Source organism: Homo sapiens, chromosome 10 (genome assembly GCF_000001405.40).
Source record: "Homo sapiens chromosome 10, GRCh38.p14 Primary Assembly".
In the NCBI taxonomy this organism is placed as follows: Eukaryota; Metazoa; Chordata; class Mammalia; order Primates; family Hominidae; genus Homo; species Homo sapiens.
The window spans coordinates 112,280,771-112,305,963 of NC_000010.11; the positions used below are offsets into that span (position 1 = coordinate 112,280,771).

A 25,193-nucleotide genomic window follows, 5' to 3' on the forward strand; every position below is an offset into this window, starting at 1 on the left:
AGACATTTCTGCTGGGAAAGAGGAAAGGTGTCTATATCCACTGCAGCCCTGTCCATGAGTGACCCCTGCCCTGCTAAGTCAGAGGTAAGATGACACTGTTGACTTGCCTGGGCCAAAGTTGGTTGAAAAGAGATACATATCTGTAGAATCCTCTTGAAATGTGAACAAGTACTCCAAACCATGTAAAAAAACAATACTGAGGCCGGATATGGTGGCTCACACCTATAATCCCAGCACTTTGGGAGGCCGAGGCAGGTGGATCCCTTGAGCTCAGGAGTTCGAGACCAGCCTGGCCAACATGGTGAAACCCCATCTCTCCTAAAAAAAATACAAAACATTAGCCAAGTGTGGTGGTGTGTGCCTGTAATCCCAGCTACTCGGGAGACTGAGCCAGGAGAATCGCTTGAACCCAGGAAGCAGAGGTTGCTGTGAACTGAGATCACACCACTGCACTCCAGCCTGGGTGACAGAGTGAGACTCAGTCTCAATTAAAAACAAAAAACAAAAACAAAAAACAATACTGAATTGCCAGTGATGAATAATCGTTTATGTCACATCAGAAGCCTTTCCTTATGCAGTTGGGCTGTTGTACTCTTCTGTGGCTTGACTTACCTGCCAAGCATTCTGATGGTCCCTTTTTCCTCCTCTCCATCCCATAGTCCTATCTCTGTGTCCTCTCCTCCCCTAGTTCCTCAGGGAAAGAAGCCACATGAAGTGCATGCATCTTCCCAGGGCCTGGTCCAGTATACCACAGGGGCTCAATAAATGCTTACTAAAAAAGAGGGGAAAAGATACACAGAGAGTTAGTGCTAAGCCCCAGGAAAGAGGAACTCAGAGAATTCACACATATTTTCGAGATTCAAGTGTCTTTTTTCTGCTCAGGAATGAACTATGGAGAACAGTAGAAATATGCCAATGTCACTGTTCACAATAGCAAAGACTTGGAACCAATCCAAATGCCCATCAATGATAGAGCAGATAAAGAAAATGTGACACATATACACCATGGAATACTATGCAGCCATAAAAAAGGATGAGTTCATGTCCTTTGCAGGGACATGGATGACGCTGGAAACCATCATTCTCAGCAAACTAACACAAGAACAGAAAACCAAACACTGCATGTTTTCACTCATAAGTGGGAGTTGAACAATGAGAACACATGGACACAGGGAGGGGAACATCACACACCAGGGCCTGTTGGGGGGTGGGGGGCTAGGGGAGGGATAGCATTAGGAGAAACACCTAATGTAGATGATGGGTTGATGGGTGCAGCAAACCACCATGGCACGTGTATACCTATGTAACAAACCTGCACGTTCTGCACATGTACCCCACAACTTAAAGTATAATAATAATAAAAAAGAAATACGGCAATGTTTCCAGGCCACAATAAACTTGATCCTACTGTTTAAAAAATTTTTTTAATATATTCTTTCTCTTCTCCCTCTCAGCTCATTTGTTCATCATCCATAAAATATTTTGCATACGTGTCATACAATACAGATATGCCTCCTGTTACGTGAATCATAAATCTACAATGAGTCACTTTGTGTTGCATGTAAAGAAAGGAAAAGCAACTCATGGGACACATACATGCTACTGGAAATTGTCAGTTGTCTTTTCATGTAATCTACTTATTTATGTACTACTTACAGTTTACAAGAGCCTTTACATCATTGCTCTCCTACTCTGTAAGTTCAGCCCAGAATCACAGCCACCATTTTACACAGAAGGAAACTGAGTTACAGAACTTTTTAATGGCTTGCCACATGGCTATTTCCTTCATTCTTTGATACCATCATTATAAAACATCCCATCAATTTAACAATAGGTTTTGAGGAAATAAGGAAACTGTACTGTATTACTTATGCATGTTGCTTATAAGATACCTCCCAATGTTTTGAAACATTAAATGATGTGCATTATCAATAATATATCTGGAACCTTCATGGGAGTAGCATGTTATCTGTTGTTTTCAGTGGGATCTTGTCGGGTGACTAAGAATTGAATTATAAGAGAGACTTTCTAAGTTTCTTCTTCCAATGTCATTGCTCTGGGAGACTAATAAAGCTTTAGAAATCTCAAGGGTGTACAATTAAAAGTTGTTCTTCAGGATGAAGTTCAAGACACTAGAGTTTATTTATTGTTTTTTAATTAGAGGGAAAATCCTTTAAAATGTTTACGTTCACACACACACACACACATATATTTATAGTTATCAGGTGCAACAATGTTAAACCTGAGTTTTCTTATCAAAGTTTAGTTTACCTACATACAAAAATAAGAAAGCAGGAAATAAAGCAAAGAAAGCAAGACAAAAGAATTAAAACTGTCACCTGGAATTGTACAGAAATAGTTTGCCTCCATTCAGAGTTATTTTCTGTACAAAAGGGGAAAAAATCAACTTTTCCTCCCAATCTTGGTTGAAGCAGTTAAAAAAAAGTTTTTCCAACTCTGTAAAGCAAAAGAAATTAGATTCAAGTAACTGAGCTTCCCATCGGATTACTGTGCTAGCCCCCCTTTTTATTCCCCACACAGTGGATAATGCATGCTCATTGTGACTTATCTGGAGCTGGTTTCTTTTACATCCTCGGGCTATATAAAGTCAAACTAGGACTGGGGCAGCAGATTTGGGGAGCATCCAGCAGCCAGCCTCTACAGTCCGGAGAGGATGAAACAGTCGGGAACATGAACAACTCCATGTGTCATTGACGCTTCCAACGGTATGAGCCCCACTTTTTGCCTCTCAGCGCTAACAGGAAACAATTAGAAACGACACAACATCGTTTATCTCCCTTGAAAATTTCCCCAAGACTGTATGTGCGGCTTTGTTCTTCCCTTGATTTTAACTTTTCATTCATGTTTCTGACTTAGAATGATCGAGGCTCAGGCCCTGGAAGGACCGTAAACATTTGGCCAGCTTGGTTTGGATACCTGGCAGAGACCAGGTTCTGAGAAGCAATGGTGACGAAGGCCTTTGTCTTGTTGGCCATCTTTGCAGAAGCCTCTGCAAAATCGTGTGCTCCAAATAAAGCAGGTATGTCCTCGCCAAGTCCATTTTCCTGGGACGAAAAGTTTCCTGAAGTTTCCTTTTACAATGCTCAGCACTTCTGTGCTTAACTTGTTATAAAAATGTAATGATGTAGCCAAGCAGGAAAGTACTTAAGCACCCCCTCCAATACCAATCAGACTTTTCCCAAATGGAGCAAAGATGTATTGGATAAACTCGGACTTTTTTTTTAATTAGAGAATGCTTGCTCTATTTCACTCTCTTACTTACACACTCTCTCCCCACATCCCATTATATATATATATAAAACATCTCCACTTTTTTTTCCATTCAACTACTGAATTTCTATCTTGTGCCCTAAATCAGTATTTCACAATATTATGCATGAAATTGACATTTAAAATGTTTAAATTATGTGCTCATTGTTATGGAGATTTTAATATATATTTATGTATGTCTAATACATCCTACCTGTGGTTTCACAGATACATTCCTTGTTCCAAATGGACTAATTTTAATTCCATGTTAAACGTGGTGCAGTCATTAAATAAATGCAGCAAAAACTGTGAGAGTGACTCTTCAATGACTGAAGTTTGGGGAAAACTTTTGTCACAGCTGGTGAGGAATAGCAGGGAAGGTGTTTTTAACCAACTGCTTTTGCATGCTCAGGTGTAGCTGGAATCCACTGTTCGTTACGTAGGTTAGCATGATTACCCTAACTGATTTTAAACTATATGTGTGCTCTTTCCAGATGTCATTCTTGTGTTTTGCTATCCCAAAACCATCATCACCAAAATCCCCGAGTGTCCCTATGGATGGGAAGTTCATCAGCTGGCCCTCGGAGGGCTGTGTTACAATGGGGTCCACGAAGGAGGTTACTACCAATTTGTGATCCCAGATTTATCACCTAAAAACAAGTCCTATTGTGGAACCCAGTCTGAGGTAAGACCAGGCCACACAGTGCAGAGTTGTTTAAGGTAAGGCAACTGGACCCAAGAATGAGATGTCTGCCATCTGTCCTTGAAAGGATTCAGAATTTACCCATTTCCTTTTAAAGGTCAGTCCTGATTCCCAAATATCCTGGAATGTTGGTGTTATTTAAAATATTCTCTTCTGCCTAGTTTAGATAACTCTTTTGGCTTGACTCTTATCCTCCTAATTTGTTGCCAAAGCCAGTGAAGCTACCTTCTAGTAGAACAAAGTACATTTCCCACCTTCAAGTTCTGAGCCTGTGCTCACAAGCCGCCATCCTTCCTAGATTGGATGGGTGGATGGATGAGCCATTCTCTGCCTGAGACTTCAAAGTGGTGACAAAGAGCATTTGGAAGAGCAGTTTAGGGAGTGACCAATGTATAATACAACTTCTAACGCAGTCTTGTGAAGTGCCCAGGATGGGATATCATAAGATAATTATTAGGAAACAGACGCCCTCTTACCAAGTATCATATGACAGACGAGAAGTCTGAGACTTCCCAATAAAGTCACTCATTCAGGGCCACAGAGCCTGTAGGGATGGAATCAGGAAGGGAGGCTAGGTCTCCCAACCTCCCCACCAAGATCTAGCATTCCTACTGCCCTACCTGCCAGAAGGCTGTGCATCTATCCATCTCAGAGCATGAGAGCAAAGAGCTTCCAGGGCCAGCTCCTCTTTCTAAAGGCCTCACAAGGATTCAGTGATTTAATGGGAAGAGTCATGAGCATGATTAACAAGACATCATGTCTTTGAGTATATCCTGGTGAACTAGAAATCAGCTGTGTGGTCTCAGGTCAGTCACTTTTCAAGTGGATGTTCAAGATCCCCTCCAGCTCTAATATTCTGTGATTTTAGAGCCCAACAAGTCAGGCGAAAGAGTCTCAGAAATCGTGCTTATAGTCAGAAGAAGGAAAGAGCAAAGAACCAGAAGGGAACACTCTAGAAATTGGAGATGGGTGAAGCATTCATTTAGAATATTTGGACAGGAGAAATGGATGAAGAGTTGACTTTGGGAAACAGAGATTCTTGAGCCAGTTCTTTTTGGTCAGAAGCCCAATGGGTACATGGAGATTTTTAAGCATACGACATCAACCTAGATCATTTTTAAACACTCTTAGTTGAATAAACTAAGGAACCCTTTACAAAATTATCAGCTCACCCGCAGACAAGAAGAGTGGATGCCACCGTCAGTGGCAGACATTTCTGTCTCCCCACTGGACTTGTTTTTGAGCCATCTTCTTGCACTTTTCCCAGAACCCTCATTCCCATCGCGGGGAAACAGATTCATCCTGACTGTCTCCTTTCTTTGTCCAGTACAAGCCACCTATCTATCACTTCTACAGTCACATCGTTTCCAATGACACCACAGTGATTGTAAAAAACCAGCCTGTCAACTACTCCTTCTCCTGCACCTACCACTCCACCTACTTGGTGAACCAGGCTGCCTTTGACCAGAGGTAAGTTGCTGTGCGGCATGGAGGGCTGGCTGCCTCATGTGTGTACTGCAGGTCCTATCAATCAGCGTGTTTCAGTCCTTATGCAAAATTCTCTCCCCTTTTCAGAGTGGCCACTGTTCACGTGAAGAACGGGAGCATGGGCACATTTGAGAGCCAACTGTCTCTCAACTTCTACACTGTAAGTGGTCTCCAGGTTCCCATTACTTCCCTGTGGCCTTTCCTTTCTAGGAGATGGTGGGATGCTTCCTCGGGATTCAGTCTTCCCCAAGCTCTGTGCAGAGCCCCATTCTTAAATTCAAGTTGAAACATGAACTTTGGTTTAGCTTTAAACCTCTTTAAAAACTAAGTGTCACAGAAAGTCAGATTCATAGACTGGATAGAAGAGCTGAAAGGTATAAGATATAAGCTATAATACCAACCTTCTGGCCAGGCGTGGTAGTTCACACCTGTAATCCCAGCACTTTGGGAGACCGAGGCAGGCAGATCATCTGAGGTCAGGAGTTTGAGACCAGCCTAGCTAACATGGTGAAATCTCGTCTCCACTAAAAAAATACAAAAATTAGCCAGATGTGGTGGCACATGCCTGTAGTCCCAGCTACTTGGGAGGCTGCAGCAGAAGAATTGCTTGAATCTGGGAGGCGGAGGTTGCAGTGAGCCAAGATCACACCACTGCACTCCAGCCTGAGAAACAAGAGTGAAACTCCATCTCAAAAAACAAAAATAAAAACAAAAAAACCAATCTTCCGCAAAGATATAAGACCAACCTTCCCATTTTACAGATGAGAAAACTGAGGCAAGGTCAACAGACAATAAGACAGCCAATGTCTGACTCTTAGTCAAGATTAGTTTTCACTACAACCCCCTCCAGAGATTTATATTTAAGATCTAGCTCTTAAAATATTTGGCCCAATGTATTGAGGTTCCTGACTGGGACAGGGCTAAAGAGAAGGATTGGGGTCGGCCTCCACTGCCTAATTCTTTGGTCTCTAAAGCCTTTCAAGTAGCATTTCCTCCTTGCTTAATTTGGGCAGGCTGCCCATGTTGACATAGAAGTTAAAGGCACACTTTGGTCTCTCTCAAAATAAAGTGCTCCAGAGAAACTAAATATGCAATGGCCATTTGCCCAGCTGCTCTCCTCTTTAGAAGGGGTGCTTTGTTTCTTCAAACCTGCAGCTTGCATTGAGGACCCATACACACAGAGACTGTCCCAGCAGGCTAAAGGAAGATGTGGGCAGAAATACAAACCTTTGCATAGAACATTAGAGCCAGAGGACCTGTTGGAAAGGCATCACGTCCAACCCATTCACTTCTCAAAGGAGAAACATCGTACTACCTCTAACTCCATTAACTTTGAACTCTTTAAGCTTGCTTAACCTGCTGCCTGGAAGCTATCAGCCCTGCTGAACTCAGAAGGCGAGAGCTGTAAGGGATCCTAGAATAACCTAGTCTGTTGTACAGATGAGGACCAGAAGCCCAGAGGGAGGAAGGATTAGCCTGAGAGCCCACAGGTAGTTCAGAGCGGTGGCCAGTCTGGAACACAGATCTCCTAGATATGGTCACTTTACTTACTGCGAAGGGAATGAAACTCATTTCAAGGCCCTTTCAAGGCCTTGTGTCTAATTCTGTATTGAAAAATGTGATTCTTTTCATTAAAGAGGGCTCTCCACATTGTAAAAGTTTCAAGATCCCACAAAATCTAGATCTGCCCCTAGCCACACACCACTAGTCGTTAAGTACCGAGAAAGGGAATCCACGTAGCCCTTGACCTATAATCGGGGGCTAAATACAGCATGGGCCACCAGGGTGATGATAAGGTGGTGAAACCACTACAGTCAGTGATGAAAGCCGTCCGGAGAGGAAAATTGGCTTCTGCGCACTGACAACAGTCTCAGGGGACTCCCTGATGACAGGCTGCCTTTGCTATTGAATCCCTGTCTGGAAGTGAATAATTGTTATTTTAACCAGATAAAATTATAGATATGATCCCATGAAGGTTTTACAATAGTTGGCAACACGGAGACACCAGGATTGTCAAAAATCATTGCCCACCATCAGCTGCGTAGAGCTGAGCTTCAGGCATAAACAAAACATCAAGTCTTAGAACTGGAATGAGCTTATTTTCTTAAAAAAAAATAATAATAATAAGAGACATGTCCTCAGCATCCCCCAGGCCATCCTCTGGGCTGGACAGACAGATAACGGGACACTCCCTTCAACAAGTATAGAATTAAGGGTCAAGCGTCCCCTGAGGCCCACCAAGACCTTTCCAGGACAAACGGGCCTCAGCAAAGAAGGGACTCTGCCATCCTGACACTTTCGTACTGATTAATATTCCCGCCATGGGCTCAGTTCCCTATGCCTGACCCATGTGGTTGGTATTTTTTTCTCCTCCCTTCTTCCACTTTCAGAGCATTCTTATGTGTTTCTGAAGCAACAACTGCTCCCTGCATATATTTCCATCAAATTACCAGAAAGAGAGCTCTGCCCTAGATAACACAATGGAATCAATGCACTGCTAATTGCTTAGGATCCTGAGAGCTTCAAATGCTGGGCTCTAAAAGCACCAGTTCTACTCAGCAGGCTTCCTCTTTTCTTTTCTCTCCATCCCCCTCCCACTCACTCTTGACAATATCCCATGGTTGGTATTCCTAGTGAAAAGTTATTTTGACCCTCAATACAAAATAAGGAAGGTAGTTGGCTTACGGAAATACCCTAGTGCTGTGGTTAAGAAAATGGGCCTTCTCAACAGACCACTAGTTTGAAGCCTTGTTCCATCATTTACTAGTTGTGTGACTTTGGGCAAGTTAGTTAACCAACCTCTCTGGGCTTCTATCTCTGCATTTGTTAGCAGGGATAATAATAGCACTTACCCCATAGGTTTGTTATAGAATTAAATGAAATAATCTTTAGGAAGCACTTAGCACAGTGCCTGGTACAAGTTAAGTACCCAAGAAAGTAGCCATTCTCATCATTGTAGACTTTGACTCTATTTAAAGTGGAAACTCTGAGGGCTTCTAGCATTGTTAACTTTATAAGGCTGAACATCGATGTCAGTGTTGGATTATATTGACTTTTATTCAATCAAAACAGTACTGATCATTCCTTTTAGACAGATAGAAATGAAAAAGCTTAAGACGGAAAAAATGCAAGCAATAGAGGCCAAAATCATAGACTCCAGGAGTCAAAACAAGCCTCCGAGGTGGTAAACCTTGACTTTCCACCCAAAGCCCAAAACCCTTCTGCAATATTGCTGTGGGGTGGCCTCCCTGCCTCTTCCAAAGACAATGATATTTGGGCCTTCCCATTTTAGATCAGCTCTGATATCTGACACCCTGAACTCTCGCACATGTGTCCCAGTTCTGTCTTCTGAAATAATATCATATAATTATCTGGCTGACAGTACTTCAAATATGTCCACCTTCTCCAAGCTAAACATCTTGTCTCTGTTGGTGGTTCATTCACCATCCTAGTCACTCTTCTCTGAATATGATCCAGTTGCTCAGTATCCCTATTAAAAAATGAAGCCCAAAGTTGAAGTGTTATATTCTAGACTTTATCAGACCCGTGCAGGCCATCACGGGTCAGAGGTGACCTTCTAGGTTCTGGAAGACTCTAGGAATGTGTCCTAGGAAAATAACTTTAGGGCAGTTTTTTTCACCGCTACTTCACATGGAGCAACTCCGAGATGTTTCCACATGAACTATTGTTAAGCCAGGTGTACTCATCCTTAACTTGTGACACTGGCTAGTTGTGACTCAACCGTTCACAACTGTGGGTCCCCTCTTACCCACAGTTTTGCTTTCCATGGTTTCAGTTACCCTTGGTAAACTGTGGTCCAAAAATATTAAATGGAAAATTCTAGAAATAAACAATTCTTAAGTTTTAAATTGCACACCTGTTCTGAGTAGCATGATGAAATCTTGCACCGCTCACTCTGTACTTCCTGGGATATAAATCATCCCCTTGTCCAGAATATCCACACTGTAGACACTACCTGTCTGTCAGTCACTCAGTAGCCATCCATGTTATCGGATCAAAATAAAAGTAATATATATAGGGTTTGGTACTATCTGCAGTTTCAGGCATCCACTGGGGGTCTTGAAACATATCTCCTGTGGATAAAGGAAGATTACTGGATCTGGAATAGGTTTCTAATTTTCACATTATAGAGAAAGTAGGGGAAAAATTATTCCAAGCCTTCCCTGAGCTGTTGGGTGAGAATATAGAGAACTCAATCATTAGTGTTCTATTTCAGAAACTGAATTAACGGTGTCAGCTCTGTTCTTCACTTTGTAACAGAATCAGGCAGGTTCTTCCATGAGGAGAGGTATTATTCCAATATTCTAACATTCTGCTGGCTGGTCCCTGGCAGAAAGAGTTGGGAGCGATACCTCTGACAGGTTTGGGGACTACATCGGGGTCCCCAGGTAAGTTCCTATATTTGAAAATGGCCTCTCAAAATATGACAAATCTCAGAACATAACAAGGAACATTAAAAATCACTGTAAATCTGCCACTTCAACCTGCATTTTAAGCCAGTAGATCCCTTATGATTAAGAACATTATTATCCAATTATTGCAGTCATTTAAATGGTGCAGGGGCTGACAAATGGGAGGAAGCAACTGACTTCTAGGTGACTGAATCAGGCAGCCCTTGCTGGACTTGCCATCAGTAAAATAATGTCAGAGGTACTAGGAAACAAAAGAGATTCTGAGTCGTCTCAACAAAGTCCCTGTGTGTTTGACATGTGAGGGGTAAAGTCCACTTTATTTTATCTTTATTTGTTATTTTTATTTTAAGTTCTGGGGTACATGTGCAGGATGTGCAAGTTTGTTACACTGGTAAACATATGTCATGGTGGTTTGCTACACCTAGCAACCCATCACCCAGGTATTGAGCCCAGCATGCATTAGCTATTTTTCCAAATGCTCTCCCTCCCCCACCCCACCCACCAACAGGCCCCAGTGTGTGTTGTTCCCCTCCCTGTGTCCATATGTTCTCATTGTTCAGCTCCCACTTATAAGTGAGACCATGCACTGTTCCTCTGTTAGTGTGCTGAGGATAATGGCTTCCAACTCCATCCATCTTTGCAAACGACCAGAAAGACCATTTGACCCAGCAATCCCATTACTGGGTATATACCCAAAAGAATGTATATCATTCTATTACAAAGATACATGCAACCCAAAGGAATATAAATCATTCTATTACAAAGACACATGCATGCATATGTTCATTGCAACACTATTCACAATAGCAAAGCCATGGAATCAACCCAAATGCCCATCAGTGACAGACTGGATAAAGAAAATGTGGTACATATACACCATGGAATACTATAAAGTCCATTTTAACTAGACATCCTTGCTGAAATCCGTTCCTCCTGCCACTGTCTACCTATTGCAGTTCTGCAAATCTCCAGGTCTATGAAACTCAATCTTTCAAACAGTAACCTGGTCTAAGCTTTATTCTCCTATTACATAAAGTCACAAAGGTTATGTCCATTTTGCATAGGAAGAAGCTGAGGCCTGAAAGGCTGACTTGCCTATAGTGTGTCCCAAGTTAGCGGTGGAAGCTCGGGTTAGCCCAGGATCCTTGCCCTTCCATGGTAATGCTTTTGTCTCTGAAATCTAATCCACAGGCTGGGCGCAGTGGCTCACGCCTGTAATCCCAGCACTTTGGGAGGCCGAGGCGGGCAGATCACGAGGTCAGGAGATCGAGACCATCCTGGCTAACACGGTGAAACCCTGTCTCTACTAAAAATACAAAAAATTAGCCGGGCGTGGTGGCAGGCACCTGTAGTCGCAGCTACTCGGGATGCTGAGGCAGAAGAATGGCGTGAACCCGGGAGGCAGAGTTCACAATGAGCCGAGATCGCGCCACTGCACTCCAGCCTGGGTGACAGAGCAAGACTCCATCTCAAAAAAAAAAAAAAAGAAAGAAAGAAAGCTAATCCACAGAGCAGTTCAAGATTGTTACTAGGGTTGAATGAACTCAAGACTCAGAGAATGGAGAAATCAGCCTCCTTTGAGTAAGTCAAACAGAAACACTGCTGTTATTCCTAACAGCTCACCCAGCATGTCCTGATGAGAATGGCAGGGAAATATCCCACATGCCAGGCCAGTGATCAGAACCTGCTGTTACTGTGCTCACATCGTGGTGTTGACTCCTTGCTGCCCCACTGCACTCAGAGAGTAAGACCCAGTGTTTAGTTTTTGAGGTTTTTTGTTTTTTGTTTTTGACAGAGTCTCACTCTGTCACCCAGGCTGGAGTGCAATGGTGTAATCTTGGCTCATGGCAACCTCCACCTCCCAGGTTCAAGAGATCTTCCTGCCTCAGCCTCCAGAGTAGCTGGGATTACAGGGACTACAGATGCCTGCCACCACACCCAGCTAATTTTTGTATTTTTAACAGGGACAGGGTTTCGTCATGTTGGCCAGGCTAGTCTCGAACTTGTGGCCTCAAGTGATCTGCCTGCCTCAGCCTCCCAAAGCGCTGAGACTACAAGTGTGAGCCACAGCGCCCAGCCAGCCCCAGTCTTCTTGATCAGCCCCCACAACTTATCTAACCTCACCCCCACCCCGCTCCCCACTCTCCACCCTCCTGCCTCACTTACTTGCTCCAGCCACACTGGCCTCCTTGCTGTGCTGCCAGCCACAGTCCTGCCCCAGGGCCTTTATCCTGACTCAAGCATTCTTCCCTGGATAGCTACATGGCCCCCCTCCTCACTTCCTCCAAATCTTGCTCAAATGTCACATCCTCAGTGAGGCCTCCCCAACCACTGTATTTAAAACTGCAACCTGCCCTTCCTCACACTCCTGATCTTCCTTATCCCACTCTGCATGTTTTATAGCTTTTCTAGATAATGTCCTATGGTCTATAGTTACATATTATATCATTTACTTACTTACTGTTTGTCTCCCCTGCTAGAATATGCCAGATCATTGAAGGCAGATATCTTTGCTTTGTTCGCTAACAAAATCCTGACAGAGTCCATCGTCAGTGCCCAACACATAGTAGTTGATCAATACATTGTGGTAGTGGTTGTTATTGTTGTTGATGATTGTACTGGGAATCTGGGAATCTGATCCTACACTTCCCAACCCACGCTGAAATCTGCTCAGGCAAAAAGTAGCAACGAGTGAGGGCAGAGGCGGGTGTTGTATGTGCTCAGTCCCTGTGTCCTTGGGCGATTCAGTATAACACAGTGCCTTAATATCCCTGAATTTCACTTGTTTTCCATTAGTGAAATCTCATTGGCATAAATGAGACATACAGTGTGTGTCTCACTATAATGAGCAAATCTAGAATACGTGATTATATGATGTCCTCATCCCTTCTAAGATGGCATAGTGTCTTAAGACTTAGAATTTCTCTGGTCTTGGAGGATCACTCTATGGTCTCACCTGCTTATGTCTTTGGGTTGATTCTCATCCCCACCCCATCCCAATTCATCTGCTCCTGGTAGACCTAGCTGCTCAATCTGAGAGTTCATAATGCCCAGTGTCAATTTCCTTCCAAAGAATGCCAAGTTCTCCATCAAGAAAGAAGCTCCCTTTGTCCTGGAGGCATCCGAAATCGGTTCAGATCTGTTTGCAGGAGTGGAAGCCAAAGGGTTAAGCATTAGGTAAGTACATTTCCTCCAAGTTTATATGTTTAAATGCAAAGAAAAAAAAGACTAGCTGACATACTTTTTAATCATCAGATGTTTGTAGGCATAAGATTCTCTGTTTCAAAGTGATGCCATTTTGTTTTATTTCCAGGTTTAAAGTGGTCTTGAACAGCTGTTGGGCCACCCCCTCGGCTGACTTCATGTATCCCTTGCAGTGGCAGCTGATCAACAAGGGGTAGGTACACTATCTAGAGACAGGGCTGAACAGTGGAACCAGGCATTTATCGGGCTACTTTGCTCTGGCTTGGGAAAGCTTGGGAGGAAGAGGTGAAGCCTGCTGGAGTTACAGCAGTGACACCATCTGTGGTTCCAGGCAAAGAACAAATACTAAGAAACAGGACATAGTGCATTCTAGGGGCCAGATACTGTTCTGAGAGCTTTACCTTATATTAACTCCTTTAAGCCGTACAACAAGAAAGTTAGTTTTACTATCATCCCCATTTTACAGATGTGAATACTGAGGCACAAGAGAGGGTAAGGTCTCATATTAAATGTGTGTGTGCGCATGCGTGTGTGTGCATGTGTGTATGTGTGCAAGAGGAAGTGTGCAGGCTGAATTCAAATCCAATTAGTCTGACAACAGAACCACGGTGATGATGACTAAATTAAATAATCGATATCAAAAGCTTAGCAGATGGTACTTGCTAGATAGTCCAACCATTTTAAATAAGATCATTGTTTTTATTACTAATTAAGTAGATAACCGGGAGCTTTTACAATTTGGAGTAAAGCACTAAAGTAGTACTAGAAGTGCGCCCTAGAAAGGCAATGCTGGAAGTCATACACAGGATGGTTTAGAAACGTGCATGGAAGGGAGAAAAACCAGATTAGAGGCCCTGGCAGCTATTGTGCAAGGGTGATAAGACATGAACTGCTATTGTAGCCAAGTGAATGGAACAAGGTAATAAAAAGTAGGGAGATGCTTCTGCAGGAATGAGAAAATGTAGGAACTAATCAGATAGGAGGTGGAGGAAAGGACAGCGCAAGAAATCTGGGGAGTAATGGAAAAAGATGGCTTTGTGTTCTTAAATCTGTGGACTACAAAGCTGAGGAAGAGTGTCTGGATTTGGCTGTTGGAGAAGGAGGTTTTTGGATAAGGAAATATGGATTCTCGCTGAGTTCACTAACAGACATGTTAAGCTTCAAATGATGATTGTCCAGAAGTACTTAGAATTGTACTATTGGAAATTAGAGGAGAGACAGGGCTAGACAAGAGATGTGGACATCATACACATAATTAGCAGTAAACAAAGAAGAGATCATTCTCTAAACAAAGCATGTAACAGACCAATGTGCCTGTGTTATTCTCAGAACCCATCAGGCCAAGGAAAAATTAATGTCAAGGATAAACATAATTGGATAACAAAAGTGGAGCTATTTTGGACCTCTATTTTTATTTAGCAAACACTTATACAGCTCTTACAATATACCAAACATTGTTCTAGATAGGTGTTTTACAAATATTAATTTATCTAAATGTCATTAAACCCTCTCTAAAGTAGACAGTATAATAATCATTATTTTATAGAGGAGAAAACTGAGGCACAGGTCCAGAAATGTGCCCAAGATATGGAGCTAGTAAGGAGAAGGCCTGGGATTCAGACTCAGTCAGTGTTACCTCCTGAGTGGCCTGGACAGGACAGGCTGGCCGAGGCACACCTGTGCAGCCCAGCAAAGCCTCCTGTAGAGATGGCAGCTTAATCTGGGTGTTTACCTCACATCTGCCATTGAATGATTCAATTCATTCAGCCTCTGTTAGCAATGGTGCAATCAAATGACTCCAGGAATTCTGAAATAACGTATTGACCTGCAGGGACCAGAAATTGCTATCAGGCACTGGGAACCTCTCTCAGGCAATGGTCACACTAGGCAAAGGCTTCTGCTACCCCTGGAATCATCTCTCTGCAGGGAGTTCTAGTGCCGTTGTTCCCATCTGGCAGATGTGCAACATGGCTGAAAAAGGGATGCCTGTGGCTTTGGGTGGTCTGCACAATTGTCCTCAAGCTCTAGTGTACACACAAACTGTGTAGGGTGCCTATTACGTATGCAGGTGTACTGTAAACCTACCAGATCAGAAGGACTCTGGGGAAACCCACGGAATCTGCATTTCAACACAGCCAGATGTAAGACATCCCGACCCATTTCTACATTCTTCCTAGTTGACATGGCACCTCAAAGTTGGAGATACATGCACAAAGTTCAGTGCCAAAGGGGAGAATGGAAAAGTCCACTCCCACAATCTCCAGATGATTTTTGCTCACAACACTGGGCCCCTTTGGAAAAAAAAAACCCAGTTTGCAAAAGTTCCTGGAGAGATGGCAGGAGATATATCATAAGGAATTTCCCTGTACACATGGATGCCCCAAAAGCAGCATACTTATCTCAAAGAGCAATCTGACATGGGAAAGGAGGCTCATGCAGAGAGGGCATAAAAGCCTCCTGTGGGCTTCCACCATCTAGAGGCAGCTGCCACTGAAGTGTGGGTGCTGCAGCTGGTGCCAAGAAGCAGCAGTGCCAAGGCATCTAGATCTGCCTATTTTTTGCCTCCTCCCCACCCCCTGACAAAGCTCTGCTTACATTATTTTCCACTGGCTGACCATGCCTGGGGCACTCTGGCTGCAAAGAGCTATTTTAAGAACTCCCATCTTGAGTTCATACGAGGATCTCGTGTTTATTGACAAAATGATCCTACAGAAGTCTTGTTTCACAACTTGGAAAATGCCACAGTTTCATCACTGTTCAGAGCCCACCACACACAGACCCGGCTCTGACCCCTGGTCCAGATACAAAGGTACAGCATTCCCTCACTTCACTCCCTCACTCTCACACTTGACTTCCTTAGTGCCTGCCTTTAGCTTGGCCCCCCGTTGTCTGTTTCTGAGGGAAAAGGGGTGGGGTAGAGAACATCATGAAGGTTCCCTGGGGTAACTGGACCGCTCTCTGGCGTGTGTGCCGAGTTTACCATACAAGAAGAAAGATGCTTCAGAGTTGCATTAATCTGGGGCCTGCTATGGTGCTATTCAGTGGTCTGACGCTTTCGAAACATAGACCTTTTCCTGCAGAGCGACAGACCCTGCTACCCCGTGCTACCTGCAGATAACAAACCCCCACAATAGTGTGGGCTTCTCTGTACAGTCCCAAGAATGGTTGCGTCTGTTTCCAACACCTAGTTAAAGGAACGGCACTTAGGTCATCAGTCTTTGTTAAATGAAAAAGTATGTTTGCTGAAACTAGGGTTTCTCAATGTTGGCACCTTGACATTTGGGGTGGGACCATTCTCCACTGTGGGGGCTGTGCTGTGCACTGTAGGACGTTCAGCAGCAGCCCTGGTCTCCGCCCACTCACTAGATACCAGCAGCACTTCCCCCAGCCTGGACAATCACAGTGCCAAATGTCCCCTGGGGCACAAAGTGGACCAAGCGAGAACCACTAGCTTAAATAAATGCCCATCTGTGTCATTTTTTAAACTGAATTATTACCTTTGAGACGTTGGAATATCATACAAATATTGTATTCTCATTATAGAGAATTTGGAAGAATACATAAAAATACAAAGAAGAAAACCAAAAATGCCCATAATTTTATCCCTTTGTATCAGCCTGTGTTAACATTTAGACGGTATCCTTCAGTCATTATTTCTGTGCTTATATTAAAAATGTGACCACATTTTTACAAAAGTAACTATGTAGATATATATAATTTAAATAATATACCATAAATACAAATTTTCAATGCAAAACCTCACAGTTCACACACAGAAATGTGTTGGGTGTGACTTGAGCTTAGGCAGCTGTGGCAGCAGGGGCAATGCTGCACCTGGTGCCATTGTCCTTACTTTGTATGTCCCTCAAGGGCTGGACATATTCCAGTCCTCGGAGGGCCTTATCTCCTAGGGATTTTCTTTCTTTGGGACACAGGTGTAACTTACTAAAAGTGTGACTCTTATAAGTCACTCCCCTCCCATCGTACCTTGTCTATAGAATGAGGACAGTAATACCCATCTCCTAGCTCATCAACTTGACCTCACAGTTGTGAAGATCAAGTGAGGTGCTGCTAATCAAAATGCCTGGGAAGGTTAGAGGTCATATAACCACCTCGGGAGCCTTGTGTGTAAATCGCTCAGCAGCTCTTGCTGGAGTTCAAGGAGATGACAGTTCACTCTTCTTTCCCCATCTGCCTCAGCTGCCCCACGGATGAAACCGTCCTCGTGCATGAGAATGGGAGAGATCACAGGGCAACCTTCCAATTCAATGCTTTCCGGTTCCAGAACATCCCCAAACTCTCCAAGGTGTGGTTACACTGTGAGACGTTCATCTGCGACAGTGAGAAACTCTCCTGCCCAGTGGTGAGCTGCCTCTCTCCAGAAGGACAATGTTACCTAAAGGGTGCCAGTATTGGAGGAGCTGGAGTTTGAGTGGGGAGATCATAACCAGGCCAGGGCAGCTGTGTGCTGAGGACATCTGGAGGAAATGGCACTGAGTATAAGGGCAGATGCTCGTGAGGGCAGATGCTCAGGGCCCTATCTGCCCTGCCTCCAACAACCCACATGGTCTGGCATGTGTCGCCTAACCTGCTGGGACCTGCTTTCTCATCCTTAAGCAAAGTGTGTTAAGTAATGATGGCCCTTCCCTCATCAGAGGGCAGTGTAGGTAAATGAAAGTGATAACAGACTTGGAAATACTTGGAAGAAGTGAAAAGGGCAAGGGAAATTCAAGGTCTAGGTGGCAGGGACAGGCCGTGGAAATAACTCAAAAGGTGGGTGTTTTTAGTCTTGACTGAACAGCCCGAGGGTTCACCTCTGTGACTTCAGAGAGATGCTGCAGAAATTCCCGACACTGGATCATGGCTGATTTGACCACGTGAGAGGAAGGCCTGGGCAGGCTGTGCTTTAACAAGCCAGCAGTCATGCCGGTGCTCACTCAAGCCTGAGAACCACCACTTAGACACTTAGACATGCCAAATCTCAAACTGTTCTCCTTTCTGGTCTCTTTCAACTGGAGACCTCGGTGTTTCCAAAGAGGCTGCTATCCACATAGCCTATAGTAACCAACAAAAATAAGGTCATAATCTCTATTGCTGTTGTTTCATTTGGCCAGAAAATGGTTCTTTATGAGCACAAACAGCAAAAGGGAAAGAAACCAGAGAGTGCAGAGCCAGGGAGAGGAGGGGAGAGACACTGTACAGTTGATCAAAGGATAAGTATCAATGCCATATTTTTAAAAAGAAAGAAAAGAAAATGAACCAGAATACAATTGCAAGTGTCCACTTCTCTAATTATTGTGGTGAGAGTGGTAAGTAGAAGCCTTATCAAAGGAAATGGGATCAATCCCTTCCACACTCAATGACCTCTTCCAGAAGGATTCCCTCTGGCTTGAAGAGTTAACAAAGTAAAGCTTTCTCTTTGTATTCAAGTTGGAGAAGGGATGAACAGTGTGTCTTCTGGGTTATTTTTTAAAAAGGTAACTCATCTCTGTTGACTGGGGAATTGTGACTCCACCCCATTTGTGACCTTTTTAAAATATCTTTTCTTTCTCTTTTCTCCCCTTTGCTCACGCATCATCCCACCTTCCCCGCTTCTCTCCTGTCTGCCTCTCTGGGTCTTCAGACCTGCGATAAACGGAAGCGCCTCCTGCGAGACCAGACCGGGGGAGTCCTGGTCGTGGAGCTCTCCCTGCGGAGTAAGCGTCTCTGTTTTCCTCTGTTTTCCAAACGGTTGAGTTCACGCTGGGCTGCGTCCACAGGCACAGCCGGTTTGAGCATTTTTACTGAATTGCCAAACCAGTCGTGCCTGTGGGCACAACCTTCACCTGCTCCTGGAGTCTTCCAGCCAGGGGTGGGGAACAGCTCAAGCCAAACGAAGGAGTTGAGGTTTGTTATCTACTCTGAAAGTTCTAACTGCACCCTAAATTCAAATACCCCCAAAGAATCAGGAAGTGCTGAGCTTCCAAACAGAGCATGCAGTGAACAATAATAATAGAAAATGAGATGTCATGGGGCCGGGCTCGGTGGCTCACGCCTGTAATCCCAGCACTTTGGGAGGCCGAGGTGGGCAGATCACTTGAGGTCAGGAGTTTGAGACCAGCCTGACCAACATGGTGAAACCCCACCTCTACTAAAAATACAAAATTACCTGGGCTTGGTGGGGCACGCCTGTAATCCCAACTACTCGGGAGGCTAAGGCAGGAGAATCACTTGAATCTGGGAGGCAGAGGTTGCAGTGAGCTGAGATCGCGCCATTGTACTCCAGCCTGGGCAACAAGAGCGAAACTCCGTCTCAAAAAAAAAAAAAAGAAAGAAAGAAAAAGAAGAAAGAAAGAGAGACAGACAGACAGACAGAAAGAAATAAAGAAAGAAAGAAAGAAAGAAAGAAAGAAAGAAAGAAAGAAAGAAAGAAAAGAAAGAAAGAAAGAAAGAAAGAAAGAAAGAAAGAAAGAGAAAGAAAAAAGAAAAGAAAAGAAAGAAGGAAGGAAGGAAGGAAGGAAAAATGAGATGTCATGAGAATGTCATGTGCAAGTCAAAAAACCTTTACTGAGTATCCAGCACTGCCTGGCCTGGCAGGGCACTAGGATTTCAGAAATAAATGTGACCCAAGCAGGCCCTGTCCTCAAGGGATTTACTGTCTAGCAAGGAGAGAGATGTTAGACACTAAGGGAAAGAGAAATTACTGTTAAGGAGGGTGACAGTGGGCTGGTGCCATGGTTGCACAGTTGATCATCACTAATGTGAAAATCCAAAATCCGAATGCTCCCAAATCTGAAACTTTTTGAGCACCCACATGATGCTCAAAGGTCATGCTCACAGGAAATGCTCATTGTAGCATTTTAGATTTCAGATTCCAGGTTTTCCAGTTAGGGATGCTCAACTAGTATAATGCAAAGATTCCAAAATCCAAAAAAAAATCTGAAATCTGAAACACTTCTGGTCCCAAGCATTTTGGATAAGGGATATTCATCCTGAATGGAGCAAAGGGATTCAACCTAGTACAGGGCTTGCAGAAGAGCTCTGCTGACAATCTCCAAGTGAGACCTGAAGGATAGTGTGACATGAAGGGTGGGCAAAACCTGTGGGAAGGCGGGAAGCTGTAGCGGCTCTATCTTAGAGGACAGTCACCAAGCTATGGCCAAGGGCCAAGGCCCAGGTGCCACCTGGTTTTGTGGCCTGGGAATTAAGAACAGTTTTCACGTTTTTATGTGGTTCAAAAAAAGAATCAAAACAACAATATTTCGTGACATGTAGAAATTACGTGAAATTCAGGGCCAGGCATGGTGGCTCATGCCTCTAATTCCAGCACTTTGGGAGGCCAAGGCGGGCAGATCACCTGAGGTCAGGAGTTCGAGACCAGCCTGGCCCTGTCCCTACTAGAATACAAAAATTATCCGGGAGTGGTGGTGCACACTTGTAGTCCCAGTACTTGGGAGGCTGAGGCCAGAGAATCACTTGAACCTGGGAGGCAGAGGTTGCAGTGAGCAGAGATCACGCTACTACACTCTAGCCTGGGCAACAAGAGTGAAACTCTGTCTCAAAAAAAAAAAAAAAATTATATGAAATTCAAATTTCAGTGCCTTTAAAGAAAGTTTTATTAGAACACAGCAACACTCGTTCATGTAGATATTGTCTACAGCAGTGCACTGCAACTACAGGTGGATTTGTGGTAGCAGAGATGGGATGGCCTGCAAAGCTGACAAAATGTACTATTTACTTTTTTCTTTTCAGAAAGCTTACCAACCCCTGCTTTGGAGAGAAAGCGTTGTGAGATGAAACTTTGTAAACCCCCAGTATAAACTGTCTGAAAGGCAATGGAGCACCTGATGGTTTAATCAGGGGAGGATTGTGGTCAGGTTTTGTGTTTTATTTATTTATTTATATTTATTTTTTTGAGACCGTGTCGCCCAGGTTGGAGTGCAATGACGTGATCTCAGCTTCAAGCAATTCTCCTGACTCAGCCTCCTGAGTAGCTGGGATTACAGGCACGTGCCACCACATCTGGTTCATTTTTGTATTTTTGGTAGAGACAGGGTTTCATCATGTTGCCCAAGCTGGTTTCGAGCTCCCAACCTCAAGTGACCCGCCCACCTGGGCCTCCCAAAGTGCTGGGATTACAAGTGTGAGCCGCAGCCCCCAGCCAGGTTTTGTGTTGTAGAAACATCACTCTGAGACTTCTCCTTTCCATGATCTTTTCTTAAACTTTCTGCATTCTCTCTTTACTCACTACAGGCAGGGGATTTTCCAGTCTCTATAGCTTCTCAGGTAAGGAAAAGAGACACTTCTGGGATTTCGTGGGGCTATGCTGTTAAAAGGCAGAGAGTGTTTTAAGAGAAGCTTAACTTTGGCCCCGGCAAAACTTTTAAGGATTGAAAATTATACTTTAAAGCACACCTGAGTGGCGCAGAGGGGGCGAGATCAAGAGGTCTCCCTCTGACCAGCCCCTGAACTCTGAAGAGAGGGAGGAACCGAAGGTAAATCGGATGAAGCAGAACTGGACCTCACTTCCCCAAGTCTTAGTAAAGCCATCCCCAGATGGCTTCCCTTGGATTCCAACATTTACAGAACAAGATTTTCAGTGATCTGTTCATTCAACAAATATTTGAATTCTTGTTATGGCTCTGTCTTTTATTAACTGAGTGACCTTGGGCAATGACCTCACCCCTCCTCCATACCCTAGTTTCCTCTGTGAAATTGGGCTAATAATTGCCCCTATCTACATGGCTGTGGTATAGATATTTAATTACAGCTAAGGGCACTGAACAATGCCCAGCAAACAGCAAACACCCAGTCAGGGTCAGCCATGATTATGATGACTGTACTGGGAACTGGTCTTGTGGCTACTGCCGTGAACAAGACAGACAAGGCCCCTTCCCTTGCCAATATGTGTAGAGTATTTGGGGTTCAATGGGGGACGTGATTTAGAGAGCAGCCAGGGAAGCCCCTTAGAGGAAGAAACATTTCAGCTAAGACCCAAGATCTCACCTGAATGATAAGAAGGAAGCAACTACATGAGGAGATGGGGTAAGACAGTTCACTTATTAATAATCTCACAGACAGATTTTGCTCTCATCATTACAGGAGAATCATGTAAATCAACTTTTAAAATTCCAATCCTAGATTCTCATCGTTTTTAAGTTCTACACTGAAAGCCCTAGAGTACCATGCACCATCACTGATTTCTATTTGTCAGAGGTCCACAACCTAGGTTTATCTGTCAGGTTCTTTGTACTGATAAATGTGAGCTACAGAATCCCCAAGGGATGAACAAAATCGACTTTGTCTAAAATGTGTGGAATTTTATGAAGACCCCTGAGTTAACTCTTCTGTTGAGTTGGCTTTACCCTTGTAGAACTGTCTCTGAGTGCCATCTCCCTCCCCTTCTGGTCCACAGATGTTCTCCACCACCTCATCATGATGTTGGGGATTTGTGCCGTGTTATAGGAGTTAGCCAGGCAGCTGCCGCTCCTCCACCCACAATAGTCCTCAGCGAATGACAAACACATTTATTGTGCTGCCAAAAAGAACAAACAGAAGACCACATTGTTGGGGGGCAGAGAATAGCACTTTGCCAAATATGCACTCCAATAATTTCTGTGAATTTGGTGATGCCTTTTTCTTTCTAAGAAAAACTTAGGCTACTTCCCGTGGCCCTTAGATCTCACAGTCCTTCTACAGCTGGGGGAGGAGCCTCCTTTCTCCATACTCAAGTCAGGGCTGCAGTAAATTCCTTTGAAAGCTATTTTAACTTTAAAAGGTTAGCAGACCCAACCAAGTACTGCTGAGCATTTTGAAGAGAATGTAGGGTGCAACTACAAAGTCAACACTAAATGCACAACGCACATTAATAGCTGACTTTGCCAAAAAGGAGCTTTGTCATTGAGGCAGTGTCATTCTACTTAAGGACCAGAGCTGAGCCCCCACGCAGGGAGTTCCAATCTTTCAACTGATGACATGGGAGATGATGTGGGATTCAGAGTGGAATACAATAGTTTTGCTCAAACCTAATGATATAAAGGAAATAGATTCTTGAAAGCCCCTAGTACTGACCTAATTTGTTTTTATTATACCATTTGTTAAATATATAAACATGATATAGGTAGAAACTCCTTGTTTTTATAGCAGATGTATACTTCTAAAGTCAAAAGAAAATTACAAATTAAATAGGAATATTTACAAAAAGAATAATCACAAGAAGAATACAACTCACATTAATTTAACCTAATAACACGGCATTGCCCCAGTGAAACTGCTGCTGGAAACATGACTATAAAGTGACTCCAATGACACAAGTGCTGTGAGTTTGGTGACCCAATCCTACAGATAAATGCCTTGTGACACTCAATGCTATTTTTTCTCTATTTGCTCTACTAAGAAGTTTTCATTTATAAGAAATGGTCTGATCTCATTTAGCTTTTACTTAAACATCGAAGCTTACATCTGTTTTTGTCTCATTCACTTACAATCATTAGAATGAAGCTAACACAAAATCAGAAACACAAATGCAAATGCAGCCAATGAAAGCATGCAGTAGCACATCTTGGTAACTGGCCACCCCAGTGATCCAGAATATGCCCATATAAATGATTTACATTGTCAACAAAATACAAACTGAATGAACCAATTCTGGTAGAGAATTGGCTGGATTGTGATAGGAAAAGGCAGAGTTCTAAGTCCTTAGTTATGTAAAGACTTAATTAGTAGGCTTATAATTTGAAAACAACACATGGGTTTGTCTCTCTGTATTTAAGGTATTTGAGAAGTTTTGCAATTTGCAGTTTGATGATTCTTTTACAACTTGTGTTAGTGAACTCAGAGATTAAACTAGTTATGAAATCTCCGGATACATGAAGTGTATGTTTGTTTAGTAATAGGCTAAAGTAAAATGACTCAATTTGGTCTAGACTTGGTCTCTAAGCTGGAGTTCCAACGAGTTTAGGATCTCTTCTTTCTGTAAATTCAGAGTTTTTATAGTCAGGAAAAACAGAAGACATATTTTATTGGTTCTAGTAGAAAACTCTTAAATAGCATACTCATAGCCATGTTCAAATCCTTTGCTGTCAGAATAAACCAATGTTGTATTAGTTTTGCTGTATTTCATCATTGTGTTTTATGATCTTGTATCTCTACCTGGCGCTATGGAATAAATAAAATGCCTTAAAATAAATAACCTATGACTACAGTTTACAGTGTTAATATATCATGTTGACAGCTAATTCCCCAATTCTCCCAGGGGTTTCTACAACTAGAGCTTCGTAGACTCGCATATATGCCACAGACTTTTTTTTTTTTTTTTTTTTTTTGAGATGGAGTCTCGCTCTGTCACCACCCAGGCTGGAGTGCAGTGGCGTGATCTCAGCTCACTGCAAGCTCTGCCTCCCAGGTTCACACCATTCTCCTGTCTCAGCCTCCCAAGTAGCTGGGACTACAGGTGCCCGCCACCACACCCAGCTAATTTTTTGTATTTTTAGTAGAGATGGGGTTTCACCATGTTAGCCAGGATGGTCTCAATCTCCTGATCTCGTGATCTACCTGCCTCAGCCTCCCAAAGTGCTGGAATTACAGGCATGAGCCACTGCACCCGGCTTGCCACAGACTTCTAATTATTCTATCCTACCTTTACATTTAAAAAACTCCCAGTATTGGGTTTCTGATGCAAGGAGGTAAAGCCAATCTGTATGATTAACATTTTGGGGAAAAGGTCTTTTGGGTCATCCCTGCCTATAGAGCCCGAATGTCTCTCACCAGTGACTGGATGTGTTTTGACTTGACATTAACTAACAACCTCATGATGTTTGATTACCCTTCTTGTCTCATAACTTCTTCTTTGAGAAAATAAGACAAGGTACTCTCAAAACAATCTCTTGTAAATTCTCAGTAGTTCTAAACACAATTAGAAACATTAAGAAAAAGAAGAAAACTAATTCTCCCCCAGGTATCCTTAGCTGACATAGAACAAATACTGAATATAGATTTAGAAAAGTGTTCTTATCAAAATTCTTAGTTGTGATCCATAAAGACAGTCTCGCTCTCTCTTTCTCCATGTGCATATGTGTGTGTATGTATGCACGTGTGTGTGTATATATATGAGGGTG

At 43.3% G+C, this 25,193-nt stretch overlaps 1 protein-coding gene and 2 non-coding genes across 3 annotated transcripts, besides 2 other annotated features; 2 read left to right on the top strand and 1 right to left on the bottom strand.

The window, feature by feature from the left end:
* The first annotated feature begins 2,629 nt into the window (after nt 1-2,629).
* On the top strand, nt 2,630-24,268 carry TECTB (tectorin beta). The gene is made up of 11 exons (NM_058222.3): nt 2,630-2,726; nt 2,878-3,040; nt 3,765-3,955; nt 5,301-5,443; nt 5,549-5,621; nt 12,968-13,071; nt 13,208-13,291; nt 17,299-17,461; nt 18,722-18,794; nt 21,331-21,363; nt 22,493-24,268. Exons 2-11 carry the CDS (start codon nt 2,965-2,967, stop codon nt 22,540-22,542), a joined length of 990 nt encoding a protein of 329 aa, NP_478129.1. The 5' UTR covers nt 2,630-2,726; nt 2,878-2,964; the 3' UTR covers nt 22,543-24,268.
* Nucleotides 7,633-8,261: an enhancer, noted in NCBI's record as "OCT4-NANOG hESC enhancer chr10:114048161-114048789 (GRCh37/hg19 assembly coordinates)". NCBI's record gives its function as "activates a minimal SCP1, AML or CMV promoter by ChIP-STARR-seq in naive H9 embryonic stem cells {active_cell/tissue: H9 hESC(naive)}" and the evidence as "EXISTENCE:reporter gene assay evidence [ECO:0000049][PMID:30033119]".
* MIR6715B (microRNA 6715b) lies at nt 18,842-18,918 on the bottom strand. The gene has a single exon (NR_106772.1). It is a non-coding gene; the product is annotated as a microRNA 6715b (primary transcript).
* On the top strand, nt 18,842-18,920 carry MIR6715A (microRNA 6715a). The gene has a single exon (NR_106771.1). It is a non-coding gene; the product is annotated as a microRNA 6715a (primary transcript).
* Nucleotides 21,601-21,895: an enhancer, noted in NCBI's record as "tiled region #2531; HepG2 Activating DNase matched - State 5:Enh". NCBI's record gives its function as "activates a minimal TATA promoter and a strong SV40 promoter by Sharpr-MPRA in HepG2 cells {active_cell/tissue: HepG2}" and the evidence as "EXISTENCE:reporter gene assay evidence [ECO:0000049][PMID:27701403]".
* Nucleotides 24,269-25,193: the final 925 nt, after the last annotated feature.